Raw genomic sequence first — 20,003 nt, forward strand, 5'->3', positions numbered from 1 at the left:
TGAATTTAAAATTTGAATTTCAAATTATGCTTCTGAAAGAAAAGTTAATATTTTAGTTAATATTTAGTTAATATTAACTAAGTAGTTAATATATCCCCCCCCTAGGTTTTGAATGTCCTTTTATGTTGTTTCTGGTGATGTTTATTTACTTTTCTTTCTATCCTTTCATCACGGTTGATAGCATGCATTTAACAACATTGTTTTTGATACAGAGTATGGAGGAAATAATTTGGATAAACTGAAGAACCATTTTGTGTTGTTTGAATGTGTAGTGTGTTGTTTAAATACATCTCAAGAACATTTTGTTTAATTGTGAAGACTACACACAGTCTCACCTTCGATTATCACTACAGTTCTTAAGAGCTAAAATTTTGCCTTAAAATCTAGTTACAGGTATTTTGGGAAAGTGTATCTACATTCCTGGTCCTCTATTTGATCTAAATTCAATTTTGATTCTATACATAATGCAATTTATAACTAAATGAATAAGGAGAGAGAGAACCCTCAATTTTGAAATTTTGAAATTGTATTTGGAATGGACTGTGATAGTACATATTCTGAAAATATCCTAATTTAAGCATTTCCACAGCATTCAGAAGGTGAATTTATTAATTTTATATTTCTTTTTCTGTTGCTTTTTCTTTTGCTGATAAGGCATGGCAGTAGGTCACATTGACACATACTGAAACACATTTTGTGTGTGTGTGTGAATATACTTTATCATTGACATTTCTTTAAAAACAGAGTATGACACCAGAAAATAGACAAACCTTATTCCTTGTAAGAAGACTTAATATTGTTTGTACTTTTGGGGGATAGGATTTTAAAATTGCCTGCTTAATCTAAGAATACCTTTTGTGTCTCAGGAGTTTGCATTGGTCTTACAATGTCTACTGCTTTAAAGATATAGATAAGTAAAATAAAACTTAAGAAAAGGTCACAGAGAAATAACTGTGTGTCATCCTGATGACTTAGTTTGAGAGCATCTCTAATAAAAACACTGACCCACGTAATTGATTTTAATGGCAGCTTTGTGGCATCTTCCTTCTCTGGATTCACGCCAGATGCCATCAGCAGAGCCTCCAGGGACTGGGGGGCATAGAGCAGCAGATGAGTGGTTTCTCTGAAGCCCAGAGTAACTCGGATAGATTAGTTTGGTTGATAAACACAGAGCACAGCAGGCTCCAAAGGCAACTGAGGATGCAACTGAGGATACAACTGACCTTTTTGTTCTCTGTCAGGGTCTAAGGAAAAGCAGTGAATACAGCAGGAACAGAAAGACCATCATCCCCCGCTGTGTGCCCAACATGGTGTGTCTGCATAAGTACATCATCTCTGAGGAGTCAGTATTTCTTGTGCTGCAGCATGCGGAAGGTTGGTTTGTAGTTTGGATTGTTTATGCAGTGAAGAATGTCACCTACTTAGCTTCCAGTTTCTCTCTGTCATTTCATGAGCAGATAGAATATATGAAACACGTTTAAGAAACCATTTCCTATTCCTCTGCTCTACCTCCCTACTTTGAGTTGTGAGGGAAAATGAAAACCCAGGTGAACAACAGATTTCATGTGAACTATGGTACCATTTGTAGATTTACTTCACTACTTACTTTCTCATGGAATTTACCTAATATAATGAGAACTTTAATATGAATGTGTGCTAAGAGAGCTAGATTTTATTTTAGTGGTATTTTGTTCGCTTGTTCCCTGCTAAAAGGATACATTATGTTAGATGACTAAAATGAAAAGCATCCCCTGAAGAATTAATTAATTACCTCCTTCTTTTAGAAGGCAAGGGTGTTGGCTTAACATTTGACATTACCTAGTCATTCTGATCTGAGTTTTTATGAATACAGCCATTGGCATCACATATGGGTACAAAGCAGAGGCACAGTTCTCTGCCTTCAAACTATTTATGAAATTTCAGCTCTTTGTAGAGGGAACAGGTGGCAAAAAATATAATGTTTTGATTTTTTTTTGCCCTTTAATACCTGAATTTAAATAAGTAGTCTTTTATTTAGGATGACTGAAAACAGCATATAAATATAAATTCATTTAATACATATTGCCATTTGGCTTTTAAGAGGTGTTCGTAAAATAGTAAAAAATTTTTAAATTGTTTTCCGTATCTCGTGAAGGCATTGTTATTTTTGTATAACTATTGTACTTTACTAATAGGCATAACATTTGTATTTAATATAATTTTTTAGGAAAAGAAGTCATTGCTTTCTGGAATGAGGTCTCATGATAATGAATGCAAGATTTTTGATGGGGGCAGTAAACAATTAATATTGTTTATTGTGAAGTACAGCACAAGATAACTACAGATGGAGGGAAGACCTCCATATGCAGTATTTAATAGGAAATTCAAAAGGGGCTCTGTGGTCTCTCAGGTATTAAGAGAGTTAATTGTGTGTGTGAATTGGATAACTAATTCACCTTTGTTCAGACATTATAGACAGCTTTTATCTGAGGATACCAGTGCATTACAGACATTATTGAATTAGAGGTCATGTCATCTGATAGCGAAATACAGCCACCTCTGGTGTGGAACAAAATAACTTGCGTAGTAATAATCCATAATAATTTAGAACAAGGTCAGTAGGATGAATGTAATTATAGTCAATATTCTATTACCCAGTGTGGATTATTCATGTTGGAGATTATCTATGGCAAAATTTTCAGTCTTAACTTACCTGTTATTTGTAGCAATATCTTCCTCTTCTTCCTCTTCCTTCTCCATATCATTTTTCATTTTTTTCTACCATCTTCTCACCATCCCATATACCTCTTGAAACTGATGTTTCAATTGATTTTACTTGAATAATGTAGAAAATTTGTATAATCTCTTAAAATCATAGACTTACGACTTTTAAATTTTCTACTATTTTAGATCCTTCTTTACTATCGAGCATACCTGACTTTGAATGCTCACATGACCATAAAATTTGTCTCTTTTGACCATTCATTTTAGGTGTCTATTGTTTATTTTTAAGATGGTTTTATAATATAAAGATAGTAAATTATAGTGCAAATAGGGACTCTGGATTAATTAAATATTCAGCAAATTTATTGAGCATGTACTGTAGAGTAGGCTCCTTTTTAGGTGAACAAGACAAGAAAATTCTCTCTCTCTCTTTTTTTTTTTTTTTTGGTTGGGGGGTAGTTAGGGTCTTGCTCTGTCTCCTAGGTTAGAGTGCTATGGTACAATCATAGCTCACTGTAACCTTGAACTCTTGGGCTCAAGTGATCTCCCACCTCAGCTGGGATTACATGCGTGCACCACCACATCTGGCTAAGTTTTAAAATTTTTTGTAGAGATTGGGTCTCTCTATGTTGCCCAAATTGGTCTTAAACTCCTGGCCTCAAGCGATTCTCCTGCCTCAGCCTCCCAAAATGCTGGGATTGCAGGGGTGAGCCACCACGCCAGGCCTGAAACTTAAATTCTTGTTGTGAAAAGTCAAACAGAAAAACAAAAAGCAAGAGAACATTGGATAATAAAAGGAACTATACAGATCTTTAACAAAGGGAGATCTAATAGATAACAACTGGGGGACTATGTTGAATTAAGTAGTAGAGGGAGCCCTCTCTGAGAAGGTGGCATTTAAGAGAAGTTCTGAATGGCAAAAGAAACAATCATTTGAATGTAAGATACAGGTACAGGGATGAGTATAAAAACAAACTTGGGATGTTTGATGACCAAGAAAGGTATCATTTGGTTGGAATGGAGCAGAGTGAGGACAACGTGAGGCACATGTTGGTACGTGAGGCTGTTGGAGAAGTAGGCAGGAGCCTTGTACAGCAGAGTAAGGACTTTGACTTTTGTTCAAGTGCATTGGGAAACCATTGGACTTCTTAAGGGGTGACAGAATCTGATTTACATTTTAAAAAGGTCACTGGCTCTTGTATGGGGAATGGGTTGTAGAAAGGCAAGAATAGAAGCAGTAAAAAGGCTAATACAGGAGGCTAGTGAAAAGGTGCTGCTGGCTTGGCCTTCTGGGGCACCAGTCGAGATGTTTGAGGGTAGAGTAATGGGACCTGTAATGGATTTGAGATTAGGAAGAGGAAAATCTACAGTAATTTCTCAGATTTGGCTTGAGCAATGCAGTGAACTGGATGATGAACAGTGTGTTTTCTTTTACACATCAGTGGCACCTCCGTAGATTAGGAAGTTGGCCTGTGTCATAGAAAAGTAACTTTTCATATGTGTGAATAGTTATTACTGAGAAAGCAAACCTTGAACAGTTGTTTTCTCCATAACATGAATGCTTTGAATACTTACGATTTGTGGCTTTAGCTTTCCACTGCTTACAGAACTACTCATGATTTATGTGAGTCTCTTGGACTCTTTCTTTCCATTTTTAATTCATTTCATTAGAAATGTATTGAGTGCTTGCTGGGACACAGACATAGTTCTAATTTGGCAGTGAACAAAACAGAAGACTTTGCCTGCATGGAGCTTACATTACATTACATTATAGAGGCAGAACAGACAATAAGCAAATATTTAAGTAAATATATGACAGATGGAGGTAAATATGCTATGGAGAAAAATTAAAGGAAAGGGGAAGGGAATGCCAAAGGGGTGAGAGGGGTGGTTTGCTATTTTATATAGGGTGGTCATCTTATTGAGAAGGGACATTTGACCAGAGACCTTCAGGAAGTGAGAGAGGGAGCATTGTGGATATGTAAGGAAAGGATGTCTTGGCAAGAGAAAACAAATAGGTCCACAGGCTTAGAGGCAGGGGTGTGCTTGGTGTTCAAGAAACAGCAGGATCAGTGTGGCTGGAGCAGAACAGAAAGAGCAGTAGGAGGAATGCTTAGAGAAGTGAGGAGGCAGGCAGGCAGATCCTGTATAGCATTGTAGGCCACGTTAAGAACTGGACTTTTATTCTAAATGAGATAAGATGTTATTGGGGCATGCTGAGCAAAGGAGTGATGAGATAGGGATCATTGGCCTGCTCTGTGGAAAACAGAATGTAGGAGAGCAGAAGGAAAAGCAGGGAGACCAATTTGGAAGTTGTTGCAGCACCCCAGGTGAAAATGCTGATGGCTTGGACAAGGTATTAGTGTGTAGGTCAGGGGTCTCCGGGCCACAGACGGGTACCTGGAGGTGAGTGGCGGACAAGTGAACATTACTGTCTGAGCTCCGCCTCCTGTCAGATCAGCAGTGGCATTAGATTCTCATAGGAGCACAAACCCTATTGTGAACTGCACATGCGAGGGATCTAGGTTGCACACTCCTTATGGGAATCTAATGCCTGATGATCTGAGGTGGAACAGTTTCACCCCAAAACACTTTCTACCCCCACCCACACCCCTGTCCCCATCCACGGAAAAATTGTCTTCCATGAAACTGGTCCTTGGTGCCAAAATGGTTGGGAACTGCTGGCGTAGGTCGTAAAGAATGGTTATTAGAGTCTGAATGTATTTTGAAGGTAGAACGGCATGATTCTGTTTTACATGATTTCAAAGTTTTTGGCTCAAATTGAAATAATGGAGTTTCCATTTGCTAAGCTGTGGGAGAAGTAAGTTTAGAAGGAAAATCAAGGATTCCATTTTGGACATGTGAATTTGAGATTCTTATTAAATATTCAGGTGATGTTTAGTAGACAGGCTATATCAGTCAGGATTTTAGGAGAGAGGTTTAAAATATTTACTATTGCTTTTAATAAAGCCCTTTCTTAAACTATTTGAGAGAGAAAGGTGGGGAAACAAAATGTATTCAGTCAAGGCCATGAGAGTTTAAGTTTCTAAGATTAGGGATTATATAATATTCATCATATGTATGATGAATTAGCAAAATACTTGGTATTTAGAAGGTGCTCAGTGTATAATTGTTGAATACTGGGTCAGTCAAAGATGAAAGACCAAATTAAAAGACAGAAGTTGCAAAAGTCTCTGACTGTGGATATACAAAACAGAAAGGAGGTAGAAAAGAATTTCTCTCCAAGTTACTTAAGGCCCCAAGGAGTAAAATGATTCTTTTATTAATTAGTTTTCTAAAATTATAAAACTAATTTATAAAATAAATTCAAACAAAATAGAAGTCTATAAAGTAAAAATAAAAATTATCCCTCCCTATTCACTTTGTTGCCCAGACCTATTCCCCAGAAATAGGTACTCTTTTAACAGTAATTATATATCTTCCAATAACTTTCTATGTTTATAAACATTCACTCCCTATCTGTCTGTTTTTAAAAAACTTAAATGGGTGTTACATATTGCCTTGAGCTTGCATTTTTTCCCCCATCTCAAAAGTGTACCTTGGACGCCTTTAGTATATCTTTATGAGTATATTTAGGTCCATATTAAGAGAGGCATACACTATAGTGATTAAAAATAAGGACTGTGGAGCCATGCTATGTGAATGTAAATGCTGGCTCACCATTACTAGTGTGACTTTGGGAAAGTTATTTAACCTTTCTGTGTCTCAATTTCCTCATCTGTAAAATAGAGATAATATTAATTACCTACCTTATAGGGTTGATGTGAGGATTAAATAGTTGTATATGTAAAATGCTTAGAATAGTACCTGGTACATGGTAAGCACTATGTATTTGCAAATGGCTATTATTAATTGATATTTAAATTGTTTCCAGTACTCATATAAATACATGTATAAACATGTATTTATACATACATGTTTTTGTTGTATTTTTTGAGAATTATATGTAGGACAGATTTTTTTCAAGTTGAATTGCTTGGCCAAAAGATGATTTTGATTACTGTGATAGCAGTGTTTTATCGTACATATGAAATTTAAGTCCTAATTCTGACCAAGCAAATTAACAAACTTACTTTGCAATCTTATAGAAAAACAATAGACTTAAAATCTGAGGAGAGACAAAGAGTTTTAATTAAACATTATGAATTCTAATTTTTAAATCTTAAAATGGTTCAATATCTACAATTTTATGTGCTTCAAAAAGACTTAGAAAAGTATCATTTACAGTCTTAGAGTGTTAAAAATTAGACAAATTTTATGTACCTTAGCAATAACAGGTTTTTTTTAAGGTTAATATATGTCTTTGGAAGAACGTACGGCCCCCAAAATGACATTATACTTATAGATCCTTATAGATTCTTACTTATAGATTCTTTTCCTTGAAAGGTTTTCAAAAAATTTGTACAGATGTTATCTTTTTATAACTCAGTTTAATAAATATTTAATACCTGTTTTACATGCTAGATAGAATCCTCTGCCTGCAGCTATTAAGACTTTACAGTCTCATGAAGGAGATAATAAAAGCATAAAAGTAATATTAATATGATGTAAATGTCATAAGGAGTATGAAGGTGGATGATAGAGGATTGAGAGAATGTATATATGATGTCCAGTTAAGGGATACAAAGAAATTGGTAAAAGAGAACAGATTCTGAAGGACCTTCAAGAATAGGTAAGATTTTCACAAGTGGATACTGGGGAAACTATTAGAAAAAAACATTCCAAGTGCAAGCATGGTATGGGGAAAAGCCCATTATGAATTCTTTGTTGAGTAGGGGGAGAGGACCAAATCATGGGTTGATAACTGTATTACTCAGGAGTTCAAATGCCTATGCGGAGTTGGTATATGATTCAGTAGATGGAGGGAACTTGGCTTCTTGAATGCAGAAATGGCATAAGATCTGTGCTGAAATAGAAGATTAATTAGGCAGCAATTAGTAGGGTAGAGTGATACAAGAGGGACTTAAAGTAAGGATCTAGTCGTAGTTATAGCATTATCCCCAAAAATGAAGACTTTAAGTACATTGAATTTTAGATTTCAGTAGTTTATTCAGGTGGAATTGGCCTAGGAATGAATGAAGCTTTTCTTAGAACTTTATTAAAAGGTACCATTTCTTGCTGGTCAGTGGAACTTTATGGATTGCTTATACGGTACATCTCATCATCTGATTTAACAAGCAGTGACTTTTATGTCCTGCACATTGTGTAGGCAGTAGACATACAAAGATGAAAAAGACTTGATCCTTTCCTCAAAGTAGTCATCATCTAGGAGAATTGAAAACCACCCAAATCATTTTATTTGGATTGCATACAAGAATCTTAGTTTTAGGTTCAAGCATTGTTAGAGTGCCACAATATAGGTATTTGTGGTAAGAGAATGTGAGTATTGTTGTCAATAGACTAAAGAATATAGACTCAATGCATAGCTCCTTTTAAACTTCAGTTGAAATATGGAGAAATGTGAAACACTGAGTATAAAGAGGACAGAAAGCATTAGCTAAGAAAAAAATGAGAGGAAAAAGTTAAATGCCATAATATCCTGTACCACTAACTGGTATCAAAATGGGGAAGATGATACAAAAATTAGCTGGGTATGGTGGCACACGCCTGTAATCCCAGCTACTTGGGTGACTGAGGCAGGAGGATAACTTGAACCGAGGAGGTGGAGGCTTCAGTGAGCTGAGATCCCACCACTGCACTCCAGTCTGGGCTACAGAGTGAGACTCTAAGAAAAAAAAAAAAGTTAAATAAATAAAATAGAGAAGGTGGTTAACTAGATCGCTGCTACAAAGAGGTGTATGAGAATCCTAGGATTAATATTATGACAATTAGCCTTTATTGAGCATTTATTCTATGCTAGGTACCATGTCAGGTGCTATGTGTATTTATTGAATTTCTCAAAATGAAATGTGAAGTAGGAAGAGGTATTTTTGATGTTTCCGTTGACTTTTTTACACATGCAATTGACTGTCAGTGGTTATTTTCCTTAAGGTTTAGGTACCCTTGGCATATGATGCTTAATGATTACAATAAATATGTGCTGAAAAATTGTCTTCTTTATATGAATAGAGGGATTTATTTTTAACACATTATTCTTAATTTTTCATTTCTTTGCAACTACAATTCTGTCTCCGCAAAGTATACTTCTGTAGTTACTGCTTTTGAGATTTCTGGATCAAATTTAATTAATTATTCTTTCTTATAATACTGTTTCTAATCACTACTGTTATAGCAGGTTTTTGGTACTTAGCCATAATTGTTTAACGTAAAAGTTATAATTGACAAAGGGATTGAGGTGTTTTAATGGTTAAAATAAAAGAAAACTATGGTGAAATAATAACTACAAGTATTGCTGATAAAATACTGGATTTTTTTTATTTCTCTGATTTACATGAAAGTGATTTTTATGATTTTAGTTTTAAAGATATATGTCAGAATACACAGTCGGAATTTCCGTAGCTTGCTTTATTAATGGTTGCCCAATTAATTTTCCTCAGTAGCTTTACTTATATAACATATTACATGTAAGGCTGGGCATAAAAGGGGAAATATTAATATGTCATTTATAAAGGCATAATTATATACCACATGCCAAATTCCTCCAATCCTGGACTGGACATTTTCAAAATGGAATAATATTGTTGATTTTTCCCCCCATTGTAGTATACAATTTTAAACAGCACTTATTTATGTATTTCCACTTGACCAAGGGGCCATGCGTGAAAAAATTATTATATAAACAGAACAGAACATAATCAGATGTTTCTAAGACTAAATGATATTTAACTTTAGAGTAGAATTTTAGCTGTGAAATTTCATACTAGTATGTGTTATAACTAATTTCCCTTCAAAGGAAGAAATAGGTTGTCACTTAAAAAAAAAATTGATATCAGGAGATATGCTTGAAACCGTACTCACCAGTCAGCAATAACAAGCATTTTATTAAATATGCTTATCTTATGGCACACGATATTAATGGATATTATTGACTTGTTTTGATTGATTTTTAAGATAGTTTTTGTTTTTCTAATGGCTTAAATAACTGTCAATTTGGAGATCTTAATACTTTTGTTTGTTTTGTTATACTTGTTCACAGGTGGCAAACTGTGGTCATATATCAGTAAATTTCTAAACAGAAGTCCTGAAGAAAGCTTTGACATCAAGGAAGTGAAAAAACCTACACTTGCAAAAGTTCACCTGCAGCAGCCAACTTCTAGTCCTCAGGACAGCAGTAGCTTTGAATCCAGAGGAAGTGATGGTGGAAGCATGCTTAAAGCTCTGCCTTTGAAGAGTAGTCTTACTCCAAGTTCTCAAGATGACAGCAACCAGGAAGATGATGGCCAAGATAGCTCTCCAAAGTGGCCAGATTCTGGTTCAAGTTCAGAAGAAGAATGTACTACTAGTTATTTAACATTATGCAATGAATATGGGCAAGAAAAGATTGAACCAGGGTCTTTGAATGAGGAGCCCTTCATGAAGACTGAAGGGAATGGTGTTGATACAAAAGCTATTAAAAGCTTCCCAGCACACCTTGCTGCTGACAGTGACAGCCCCAGCACACAGCTGAGAGCTCACGAGCTGAAGTTCTTCCCCAACGATGACCCAGAAGCAGTTAGTTCTCCAAGAACATCAGATTCCCTCAGTAGATCAAAAAATAGCCCCATGGAATTCTTTAGGATAGACAGTAAGGATAGCGCAAGTGAACTCCTGGGACTTGACTTTGGAGAAAAATTGTATAGTCTAAAATCAGAACCTTTGAAACCATTCTTTACTCTTCCAGATGGAGACAGTGCTTCTAGGAGTTTTAATACTAGTGAAAGCAAGGTAGAGTTTAAAGCTCAGGACACCATTAGCAGGGGCTCAGATGACTCAGTGCCAGTTATTTCATTTAAAGATGCTGCTTTTGATGATGTCAGTGGTACTGATGAAGGAAGACCTGATCTTCTTGTAAATTTACCTGGTGAATTGGAGTCAACAAGAGAAGCTGCAGCAATGGGACCTACTAAGTTTACACAAACTAATATAGGGATAATAGAAAATAAACTCTTGGAAGCCCCTGATGTTTTATGCCTCAGGCTTAGTACTGAACAATGCCAAGCACATGAGGAGAAAGGCATAGAGGAACTGAGTGATCCCTCTGGGCCCAAATCCTATAGTATAACAGAGAAACACTATGCACAGGAGGATCCCAGGATGTTATTTGTAGCAGCTGTTGATCATAGTAGTTCAGGAGATATGTCTTTGTTACCCAGCTCAGATCCTAAGTTTCAAGGACTTGGAGTGGTTGAGTCAGCAGTAACTGCAAACAACACAGAAGAAAGCTTATTCCGTATTTGTAGTCCACTCTCAGGTGCTAATGAATATATTGCAAGCACAGACACTTTAAAAACAGAAGAAGTATTGCTGTTTACAGATCAGACTGATGATTTGGCTAAAGAGGAACCAACTTCTTTATTCCAGAGAGACTCTGAGACTAAGGGTGAAAGTGGTTTAGTGCTAGAAGGAGACAAGGAAATACATCAGATTTTTGAGGACCTTGATAAAAAATTAGCACTAGCCTCCAGGTTTTACATCCCAGAGGGCTGCATTCAAAGATGGGCAGCTGAAATGGTGGTAGCCCTTGATGCTTTACATAGAGAGGGAATTGTGTGCCGCGATTTGAACCCAAACAACATCTTATTGAATGATAGAGGTCAGGAACTTTTGCAAATGCATTTCTTTTTATTCGCTGTTGCTTCCAATTAACTGAGTAGGCGTTTTATCTTGTAATTAGTATCTTCATTTCCTGTCTAGAGCTTCATTATCAGTGCAGCAAATTCACCCCCAGTAATAGCTTCTAGTACTTAATGATGCCATTATTCTTAATGATACTGTTTTTAGCTACAAAAGGAGTAATTACAGTTCACTTCTGCAGAAAATGGAAGAGAAAAATGTTTTGATTTCTCCTGTCGTTTTGTTTTTAGGACACATTCAGCTAACGTATTTTAGCAGGTGGAGTGAGGTTGAAGATTCCTGTGACAGCGATGCCATAGAGAGAATGTACTGTGCCCCAGGTTAGAGCAATCTCCTAAAATGTTTCACTTGAAAAAGTGGTTCGGCAGCTCTCATTTCTTTATAGAAGTTGTATTTTTGTATTGTTCACTAGCAGTTTACATATGTGTTGGATTTGGTTATCTGTTTAACCCTTCAAAAAAGAAAATTTGGGGCTAAACCAATTAAGTAATTCATAGGTATATATGTGTATATATGTATGTGTGTCCACATATTTATTATTGTTAAATGAGTTTAATACCTCATTAAGAACTGCAGTGAATTCTTAGAAATGTCTTAACTTCTTAGTGTTTACAAGGACCTTTAAATACCCTGACCCTCTTTAGATGCATGATTTTTTTCTTTCTTTCTTTTTTTTGAGACATACCTCACTCTGTCACACAGGCTGGAATGCAGTGGTGCTGTTATGTCTCACTGCAGCCTCCCAACTCCTGGGCTCAGGCAGTCCTGTTGCCTCAGCTTCTGAGTAGCTGGGACTACATTTGTGCACCACCATGCCTGGCTAATTTTTTTAAAAAGCATTTTTTGTAGAGATGAGGTCTTTCTGTTGCCCAGGCTGGTCTAGAACTCCTGGGCTCAAGGTGCTGGGATTACGGGTGCATGCCATTATTCCTGGCTAATTAAAAAAATTTTTTTTTTTTTAAATAGAAACAGGGCCTTGCTGTGTTGCTCAGACTGGTCCTGAACACCTGGCCTCAAGCAATCCTCCTGCCCCAGCCTCTGGAATAGCTGGGATTGCAGGCATGAGCCCATGGTGCCTGGCACAATGGAGGTTTTAAAAATGCAATATGATTTTAGTGATGTGCCAACCTGGCATTTTATAACAAATTTTTATAGACAAAACAGTTTTATCTTGCCTTTACTGTATTGTCTTTATTTTTTAAAAATTAGAGATTTATTCTGTGGGTATTAGATCTTTTATTGACAATTATAGGTAGCATAAGCATATGAATTGCATTTGAGTTGGTTTTTCTCAGTCATCAGTGCAGATGGGGCTGTATTATGAATCCAAAGTTTGTTCACCTTTTGCTTACCATTTAGCCTCTTTGGATGGCCAGAGTCACTTCACCTGTTGCCCCATTGGCCTTCAAAGGAGTTTCAAGCTGATTTTTTTTTGATATAGTCTGCTTAGGTGTTGATCAATATAGTATTTAATACTTAACAGCTAACTAGTGTATTGATGCTAACCTTGTTTCTCTGCATAATGGGAAGTGATGATAATAAGGATTAAAAGAGCTAGATTGTTTCTAGTTACAACTTTCATTGTTAAGAATTATTTCTGCAGTAGAGAATACCAAAGTTTTCCAACCTATAAAATAAATATCCTAAAACGTTCCTGAAAGCAACTATTAGGGTTTTCTTTTCTTTCCTCCTTCTTCCTTCAAATTAAGACTGTTTGGTTTTTGTTTATTGTTAGAGACAATAGAGCACACTTACATTTTTTTTTCTCAAATAGATAATGTGATGTTATGTTTTGAAATCATGTTAGTAAATAGGATAAAAAATTGCATGTTGAATTCACTTTATTACAGTTACTCGATTAAAAAAAAAAACCAGATCCTCCCCACTTTCTAATTTGATAAGAAATAACATTTTAGGTTCCAGTGTACTTAGAAATATATTTGTTAATTATAATGAATTTGGAAGTTTTAGAATCAAACTTAATTTGGGAGTTTTTTTGAGTCAAGCCTGTTACATGCTAAAGTGAAGTACAGTGGGAACCATATAACAAAACAAAACCACACATTTATGGAATATTGTTTAATATTTGTAAGTAGTTTCTTATTTCTTATTTTTGTTGTTACTTTCTTTTTTTTCTCCTGGTTCCTAGTAAGTGTATATATTGTTACTTATTGGAAACTATCTGTAAATTTGTGCTTGAACATTCTAGCAGATTATTTTTCTTTATTCTCAAGCACAGTCATATTTACTTTAATATCCATAACATGTTGGTATCCTGAGAGTTTTAATATATGTGGAACAGAACCATATTACATTCATCAACAGATACACACTTTCAATTTCATATACTGAAATACCGAATTTAATACAGATCGGTTTCTAAGTTCTAATTTTTAAGCCTTGTCCCAGAAATTACAATTCTCTTAGTTGACCAGCAGGTGGCAGTCTACCATTAATGGATTTTGCTGTCCTCTTCCAGGTTGTCCTTCACTAGCATTTGAAAAAAGCTGTAGTCTGAAGAGGTGCTTTGTTGTCATTATTTGCATAAAAGAATTGTACTTCCAAGCTTTGTGAGTTGCAAAAGTGTTCTAGTGTTGTGGCATGCTTTGTGAACAATGTGGAAAGGCTTTCCATTCATTGGGCCTGTTAATTTTAGCAACCAGGTAAAACAAAACGAGTAATGGCCTTAACAGAAAAGTAATACCAGTGTTCTTATTAAGATGACCTTAAATCTAGAGAGTTATAGAACTTGGTTAAGTCTATGTGCTCGTACCCCTTACTTATAACTCAAGGGAAATTGGAGCAAAAATTTGTGAATTACTGTTTGCTCCAAAAGTTCATAGGCAGTGCTACTGATAAATCAAAACTACAGATAGGTTTTCCTCTCCTCAAAGGATGGAAGCAATGATAATATGTTAATATTTCAATACTTAAAAATACAAATCAGTAACTACATGGGTCATAGATTGTTTAACCACCTTTTGATCTACCCTTAGGAACACTAAAGGTTGAAGTAATTTCCTTTCATGTGATCCCCTCCCTCTTACTTCCCAAGTCTAACCTTAGTATTATTGTCCAAGTAACTCTAAAGCATGTTAAGCAGCTGATGTTTGGTTAGAAAGAAAAGTTGTCACAAGATTATGATGAGAGCAACTCACTTCTGTTTAAACAGTGTGCACCCTCTACCCTGCCACTTCACCTCCTGGGAATCCTTATCACATATTTGTCCTGAAAACATTATCCACCTGCCCTGTGCTTTATAATATCAGCAGTATATCTTTTTATCTTGTGGATGATGTGCCTTTATATTTTGAGAAAAATTTCCAGTAACAGATTTGATTTGCATGGACAGAAACTTGAGCAAATGCCAAACTAGCAGGGGGGCCATTATTCTGCTCTATAAATAAGTTTAAAAAAGAAAAAACACACACACAGAAACCTGTGAATCAACATGTTTTGGTCTAATTGAGGGGAAAAGCAAGACAGATAAATTTTGAAATGCAAATGATCACCTTCTGTTATTTAAGTATAGTTTCTGCCAACTTAGTGATCCTAGATTTTAAAAAGTCATAATTATTTCAACAATGTATACTCCCAAGGATGCCCAAGATTCACAAGTTTCTATAACAAAACTGAGAACTTTTAAAAAAGTTGCCACTTTTTTATATTAAAGAAAACAAATCCAACAACAAAAAGACAAAAACCATGGAGCTTTCTCTGGCTACATCTGTGAAAAAGCCAGCGCATAAATGGCTGCAGCTGCAGACCCATCAAGAGGGTCTTGAGAATACGAATTCACTGATCAAACCCAGCCCTGTTTTCAAAGTAGAAGCCATTCCTTTTAGGTTCACTTTGTATCCTTAGATTATCTAGGATGATTCTCTAGAAAGGTTTTATTTTAAATAAACATCATTCATGGTAAATGGGTTCCTTTCATACCACAGAAACACAGAATGGAGTTCAGGAAGAGAAAAGGCAAAAGAAATAGTCCACAAAGTAGGAACAGATTGTATAGCATGACAATATAAATATAACACTGTCTGGTTTCCACATTAGGAGACTTGTAGATACTTTATTAGGATACTTTTACACAGGTTCTTCTGCTTTTTTTGTTGTGAGGGATTAGAGAATAAAAACTGGAGTAAATTGGTTATTTTTCTCTGGAGGACTTTCTTCTGGTTACTCTGATTTTATATCTGTTTTTACACACATACACACAAAAGTTTTAGCCAAAAGATTTTATGTGCTTTATCATTTGATTTATTAACTTATGATAATAAAGAATAAACCTTTGTTTATAGTGTTTTAAGTATAAAGGAAAAATAAAATGTCAAAGTACTTTTTTTTACTACTTTTTTTCTTGACTCTTATCATTCAAAAACAGCTAGAAAATAGAACCTGTACTACTAAGCATATAAAATACAAAAAAAAAACTGAGTCTGAGGTGGGAGGATTGCTTGAGGCTGTGAGTATGAGACTGCAGTGTGCTATGATCATGCCTGCGAATAGCTACTGCACTCCAGCCTGGGCAACATAGCAAGACCTTGTCTCTTAAAGAAAAATACAAGAAAATGATATTTGAAAGCTTAATATACAATCTGAGACAAGTGCATAAAATTATTTGTGTTAGTTAACCTAATATAGTCACTTAAGTTTCCCATTCTAGTCTTGAACAAGTTGATATGGTATCCTATCAGTGTGTGTCCTTCACTTTTATTTTCTGCCCTATTATGAGTCTTTAATTTTAAATGCTTGAAATTTACATTGATATTTGTCATTGAATACTTTTCACACTTGAGAATTTATAGGTGCATATGTGTGTAAATTGAAGAAGTCCAAAATGCTTTTCACTGCAGCCCGATCTCCATGCTCCCAGATGTCAAATGACAGCTTTGCTTCCTCTCTTAGGCAATTTCACACTTGGAAACAGCTCACAGCTGACGGTGAAAAGTGAAACATAGAAAAATCATGCTGAAAACTATCTGTAAAAATTCAGTTTTAGAGCATGACATTTATTGACTACCTTTCTTTGCTCTCCTAGCCTGACTTTATCAAATAATCCATGAATATATTTTGGGGAATAGTTTCCCCTGCCCTTCTCCATAAACATGCTTTCCATGGCATTTGTTTCTTTTTAGGCATGGAGCTCCATGTAATAGTTATGTATCTGATAATTAAAACTAGGACTCAGACCATGGATGGAGTTTAAAATATCTTGAGGCTATCAGAAGTTTTTAAGGTTTAGAACATTTAGATGGAATTGAGAACTACCAAACCTGCATATTGTCCCAGATCATGTATTAACTGATTGCTTGACCTCGGGAAATTTATTTAAGACTTTCTAGGCCTCAGTTTAACAGTAGTAAAATAGATTTGTTGGATATAAGTAAAATCACAGATGTCAGATCATCTGACATCCTCCTTACACAAAATGTACTCAAAATTGAAGTTCATCATATTAAGGCAGGATTTTCCCCCCAAGGGTAAATATTGATTTCTTATCTAATGTTAGTAGAGTTAAAAAATTATTTCATTAGGATGACTGAGTATATATTTTTACTCATTTATAGAGTTTGTACATAAAGTATATCATGTAGAAATAAGGGATTTATGGAAAATACTTTCATTTAGAGGAATGAAGCCAAAACAACTTTTGTTTGGGGTGAAAGTTGAATGTCAAGATTCTCAACAAACAAAATTGTTTAAATAAGAAAGAAATATTTAGATGTGATAATTTATGGGACCTGGGTAATTTCAGCAAACATGAGAAATCTAATTTTAAGAATGTAAGATTGATAGAGAAAGCAAATAAATATAGATGTATATTTCAAAATAATAATGACATAACCAGGAGATACTACTTTTTTTCCTAAAACAGAAAGAAGGTGGCAGCAAGAGGGAACTATAGGAATAATTTTGAGTAAAATATTTATGGTTAATATTTAAATATTATGTTTCAGACAGTAACTGTTTTATTTACCCTTAAGCAAAACTTCAGCAATAGCTAGCTATCTTGTACATAGTATTTTAATGTTTTCCTTGAATGATTAACAAGTATGTTTAGTCCTTTGCCCTCAGTTCTTATCGTCATAAAAACCAAATCTATTTATTCTTCAGGAGAACCAGTTAATTTTTCAGTTTGCCATAGAATAGTGAGACTTTTCCACTGAAGAAAATTTCTTGATACACTTCACCACTGTATATCCATGAAACTTGTAACGTGAGTTTAGAGTACAAGCAAAAAAGGCCTCAAGTTAACACAAGTCTTACCTTGTCTAGGCAAGGCCCTTGTGGTGCAAAGAAGATTAAAGGATCACTTTAGGAGGACTTGAGGGTCTAGAATGCTGGAATCCATGGGCCAGTCACCATCACATCTCAGTTAAGGTTGCTCCATATTGAAACAGACTATTCTGAAATCATGATTCTCCTATCAAGCCAGAATGCGATTTGTCTCTAGTGGTGAGAATGAGACAAAGTAAGAGCAAAGAATTCAGTCCCAGTTATTTGGCATCTTAGCAAATGACACATTAGCACATCCCAAGAGAAGTTCAATGAATTGATGTTTTGATACAGAAGAGGTGAAAAACAATGTCTCTGTACATTTCATAATACTACCTGATATTTGGAGTGAAGGGTTTATGTCAAGCTTTAGATTATTAAAAATAAGTTAATCTTAACCTTTTATTTACCCCAAACCTTTTTTCTTGATGATCTTGGGCAAATTTCTTTTTCAGAAGAGGAACATGAGACTAGAGACTTATAGTTTAAAGTATTAGCTACAGTGTAATGCTTTTTATTTTTCGTATCTCAGTTGACTTTTGTCAACTATTCAGTAATTGGCCTCACCACTGCATTATTATAAAGAAGAAAGTGAACTGTCTTTTGCCTTTGATGTTTAACAAAGATGTAATACTGAGTCTTAAACATTATATACCAGAGCAATTGGCTAACTATTTTTATCAAATCATCAGTTTCTGTATCCCATAACATTTTGTAAATTTTAATCTCCATTAGGTTACCAGGTCTTATTCCTTCTGAGCAGTTCTTCACAAATTCTTCCTTCGAATAAATGTTTAAAAATGCTAAGGTTTTTAAAAATGAGTGAGGATAAGGCAAGTAGGATTTCTGAAGCTCCTTTAATAGCCATGCGTGTAGCTCTCTGCCTAACACAGCAGCAGAGCGGCAGAGAGAGAGCGCAAGCAAGCGAGAGAGCTATGCCTGTCATTCTCACAATTTTCAGTTAGCCTTTTTCTCATCAATCAACTGTAATGGCTTTGGTTGGGTAACACTGTGACACCTGATGGCTACTCAGAATGGAGTTGTTGTGATATGATCAATGGAAAATGGGGCATGCTGTTGGTTTTTTCCTACTAGAAATACAGGGTGAGAGAGTAAGCAAGATTGTTTACAGCTCAGAATTATAATCGGTCAACCAGAAGTCATGTGGTAGTTACTCGTTTCTTATTTTATCTCACAAGAAAACCGTATAGTAATGATACCTATAAACTCCCTTGAACAAGTAATTCTTGGCTCTGGAGTGCCGAATCAAGTGAAATTAAGGAGTTTTGACTTAAGTTGTACAGATAATTGCAGGAAAGCTCAGAACATGGTTGCCAGGTCACCACGACAACAAGAAATTCAGAGCTAGGTAGTGGGAGAAAAGTGGAATTAGACATGTAGCCAAGCCTAGCCTGAACTAGCTGAGTGTGGTCTGCACTCACGTCCAGTTCCCCACAATACAGCAGGCCCAGGGATTCAGGTAATTGAATTACCTAAAAACCAACTGAATAAATGATGAGGTGGTGGCAGGAAGCGAGGCTAGAGACTGAGGTGAGCCGAAAAAGCGAATGCGTATTAGGGTGGAGCAGCACCACATATCCCCTGTCACCTTGCAGCACTGGGAGAAGAGTGGGGGCCCCAGCTGCTGCAGACTTCTCTCTCTGGAAAGTGCCAGTCTCTGTCATTGGTCTTCTCTGGATAATACGCTAATTAGAGTAATGTGATTCCAGGAACTTTCAAACAGTTCATGTACCCTGCTCAACAAATACAGCATTTGAATAAGCAATTGAGTACAATGCTGGAGGACTTTATGGAATATAGAATGGATAATTAGGCAGTCAATGTTTTCTGAAATAGTATAAAATAAGAAAAAAGGAGCAAAATGCCCATTTGAAAGGATGGGCTAGGAAATGAAAATTCCAGGCTCTAGTTAGTCTATCATGTAAGAATGAAGATCTGCCTCAGAAATGTGAGACTATAGGGAAGTTTCTTCTGTCTGACTTGACTCATTTCAAGTACAAGGTCCCTGTGAACAGCTTTGCGCCTTTGAACTTGTAAACTTTAAGCTATTAAACTTTGATGTTTTAGTTTATAACTATTAGAGGAGCATTCCGAACCTGGAATTAAAATGAAATTTTATTCTCATAGTTGCTATGGCTTTTAGTTTTGCTTTCGGTTGTAACATTTTCCATTGTCATATACAAAAACTTAAAAAAAATTGTCTCTGTATTTAAAATAATACCATGGCTAGGTAGTGTAGTTGTCCT

The 20,003-nt window shown here is 35.6% G+C and overlaps 1 protein-coding gene across 46 annotated transcripts in view, besides 1 other annotated feature; it reads left to right on the forward strand.

Moving 5' to 3' along the window:
- Positions 1–20,003, forward strand: part of RPS6KC1 (ribosomal protein S6 kinase C1) — an 811,495-nt gene that overhangs the window by 179,641 nt on the left and 611,851 nt on the right. For 31 of the 46 annotated variants that reach the window (XR_007058661.1, XR_007058662.1, XM_047417936.1 and 28 more), the window contains 3 exons: positions 1,242–1,374; positions 9,821–11,416; positions 11,688–11,777. Coding sequence is in view for 40 of the 46 variants with exons in the window: in XM_047417936.1 (XP_047273892.1) it covers positions 1,242–1,374; positions 9,821–11,416; positions 11,688–11,777 (1,819 nt within the window). In the remaining 6 variants the exon portion in view is untranslated. Of the gene's footprint in view, positions 1–1,241; positions 1,375–9,820; positions 11,778–20,003 lie in introns of all 46 variants that reach the window. The other 15 variants (NM_001349669.2, NM_001349666.2, NM_001349664.2 and 12 more) reach the window with 4 other exon arrangements.
- Positions 752–1,676: an enhancer, noted in NCBI's record as "OCT4-NANOG hESC enhancer chr1:213404976-213405900 (GRCh37/hg19 assembly coordinates)". NCBI's record gives its function as "activates a minimal SCP1, AML or CMV promoter by ChIP-STARR-seq in naive and primed H9 embryonic stem cells {active_cell/tissue: H9 hESC(naive and primed)}" and the evidence as "EXISTENCE:reporter gene assay evidence [ECO:0000049][PMID:30033119]".

Source organism: Homo sapiens, chromosome 1, assembly GCF_000001405.40.
Source record: "Homo sapiens chromosome 1, GRCh38.p14 Primary Assembly".
Classification (NCBI taxonomy): domain Eukaryota; kingdom Metazoa; phylum Chordata; class Mammalia; order Primates; family Hominidae; genus Homo; species Homo sapiens.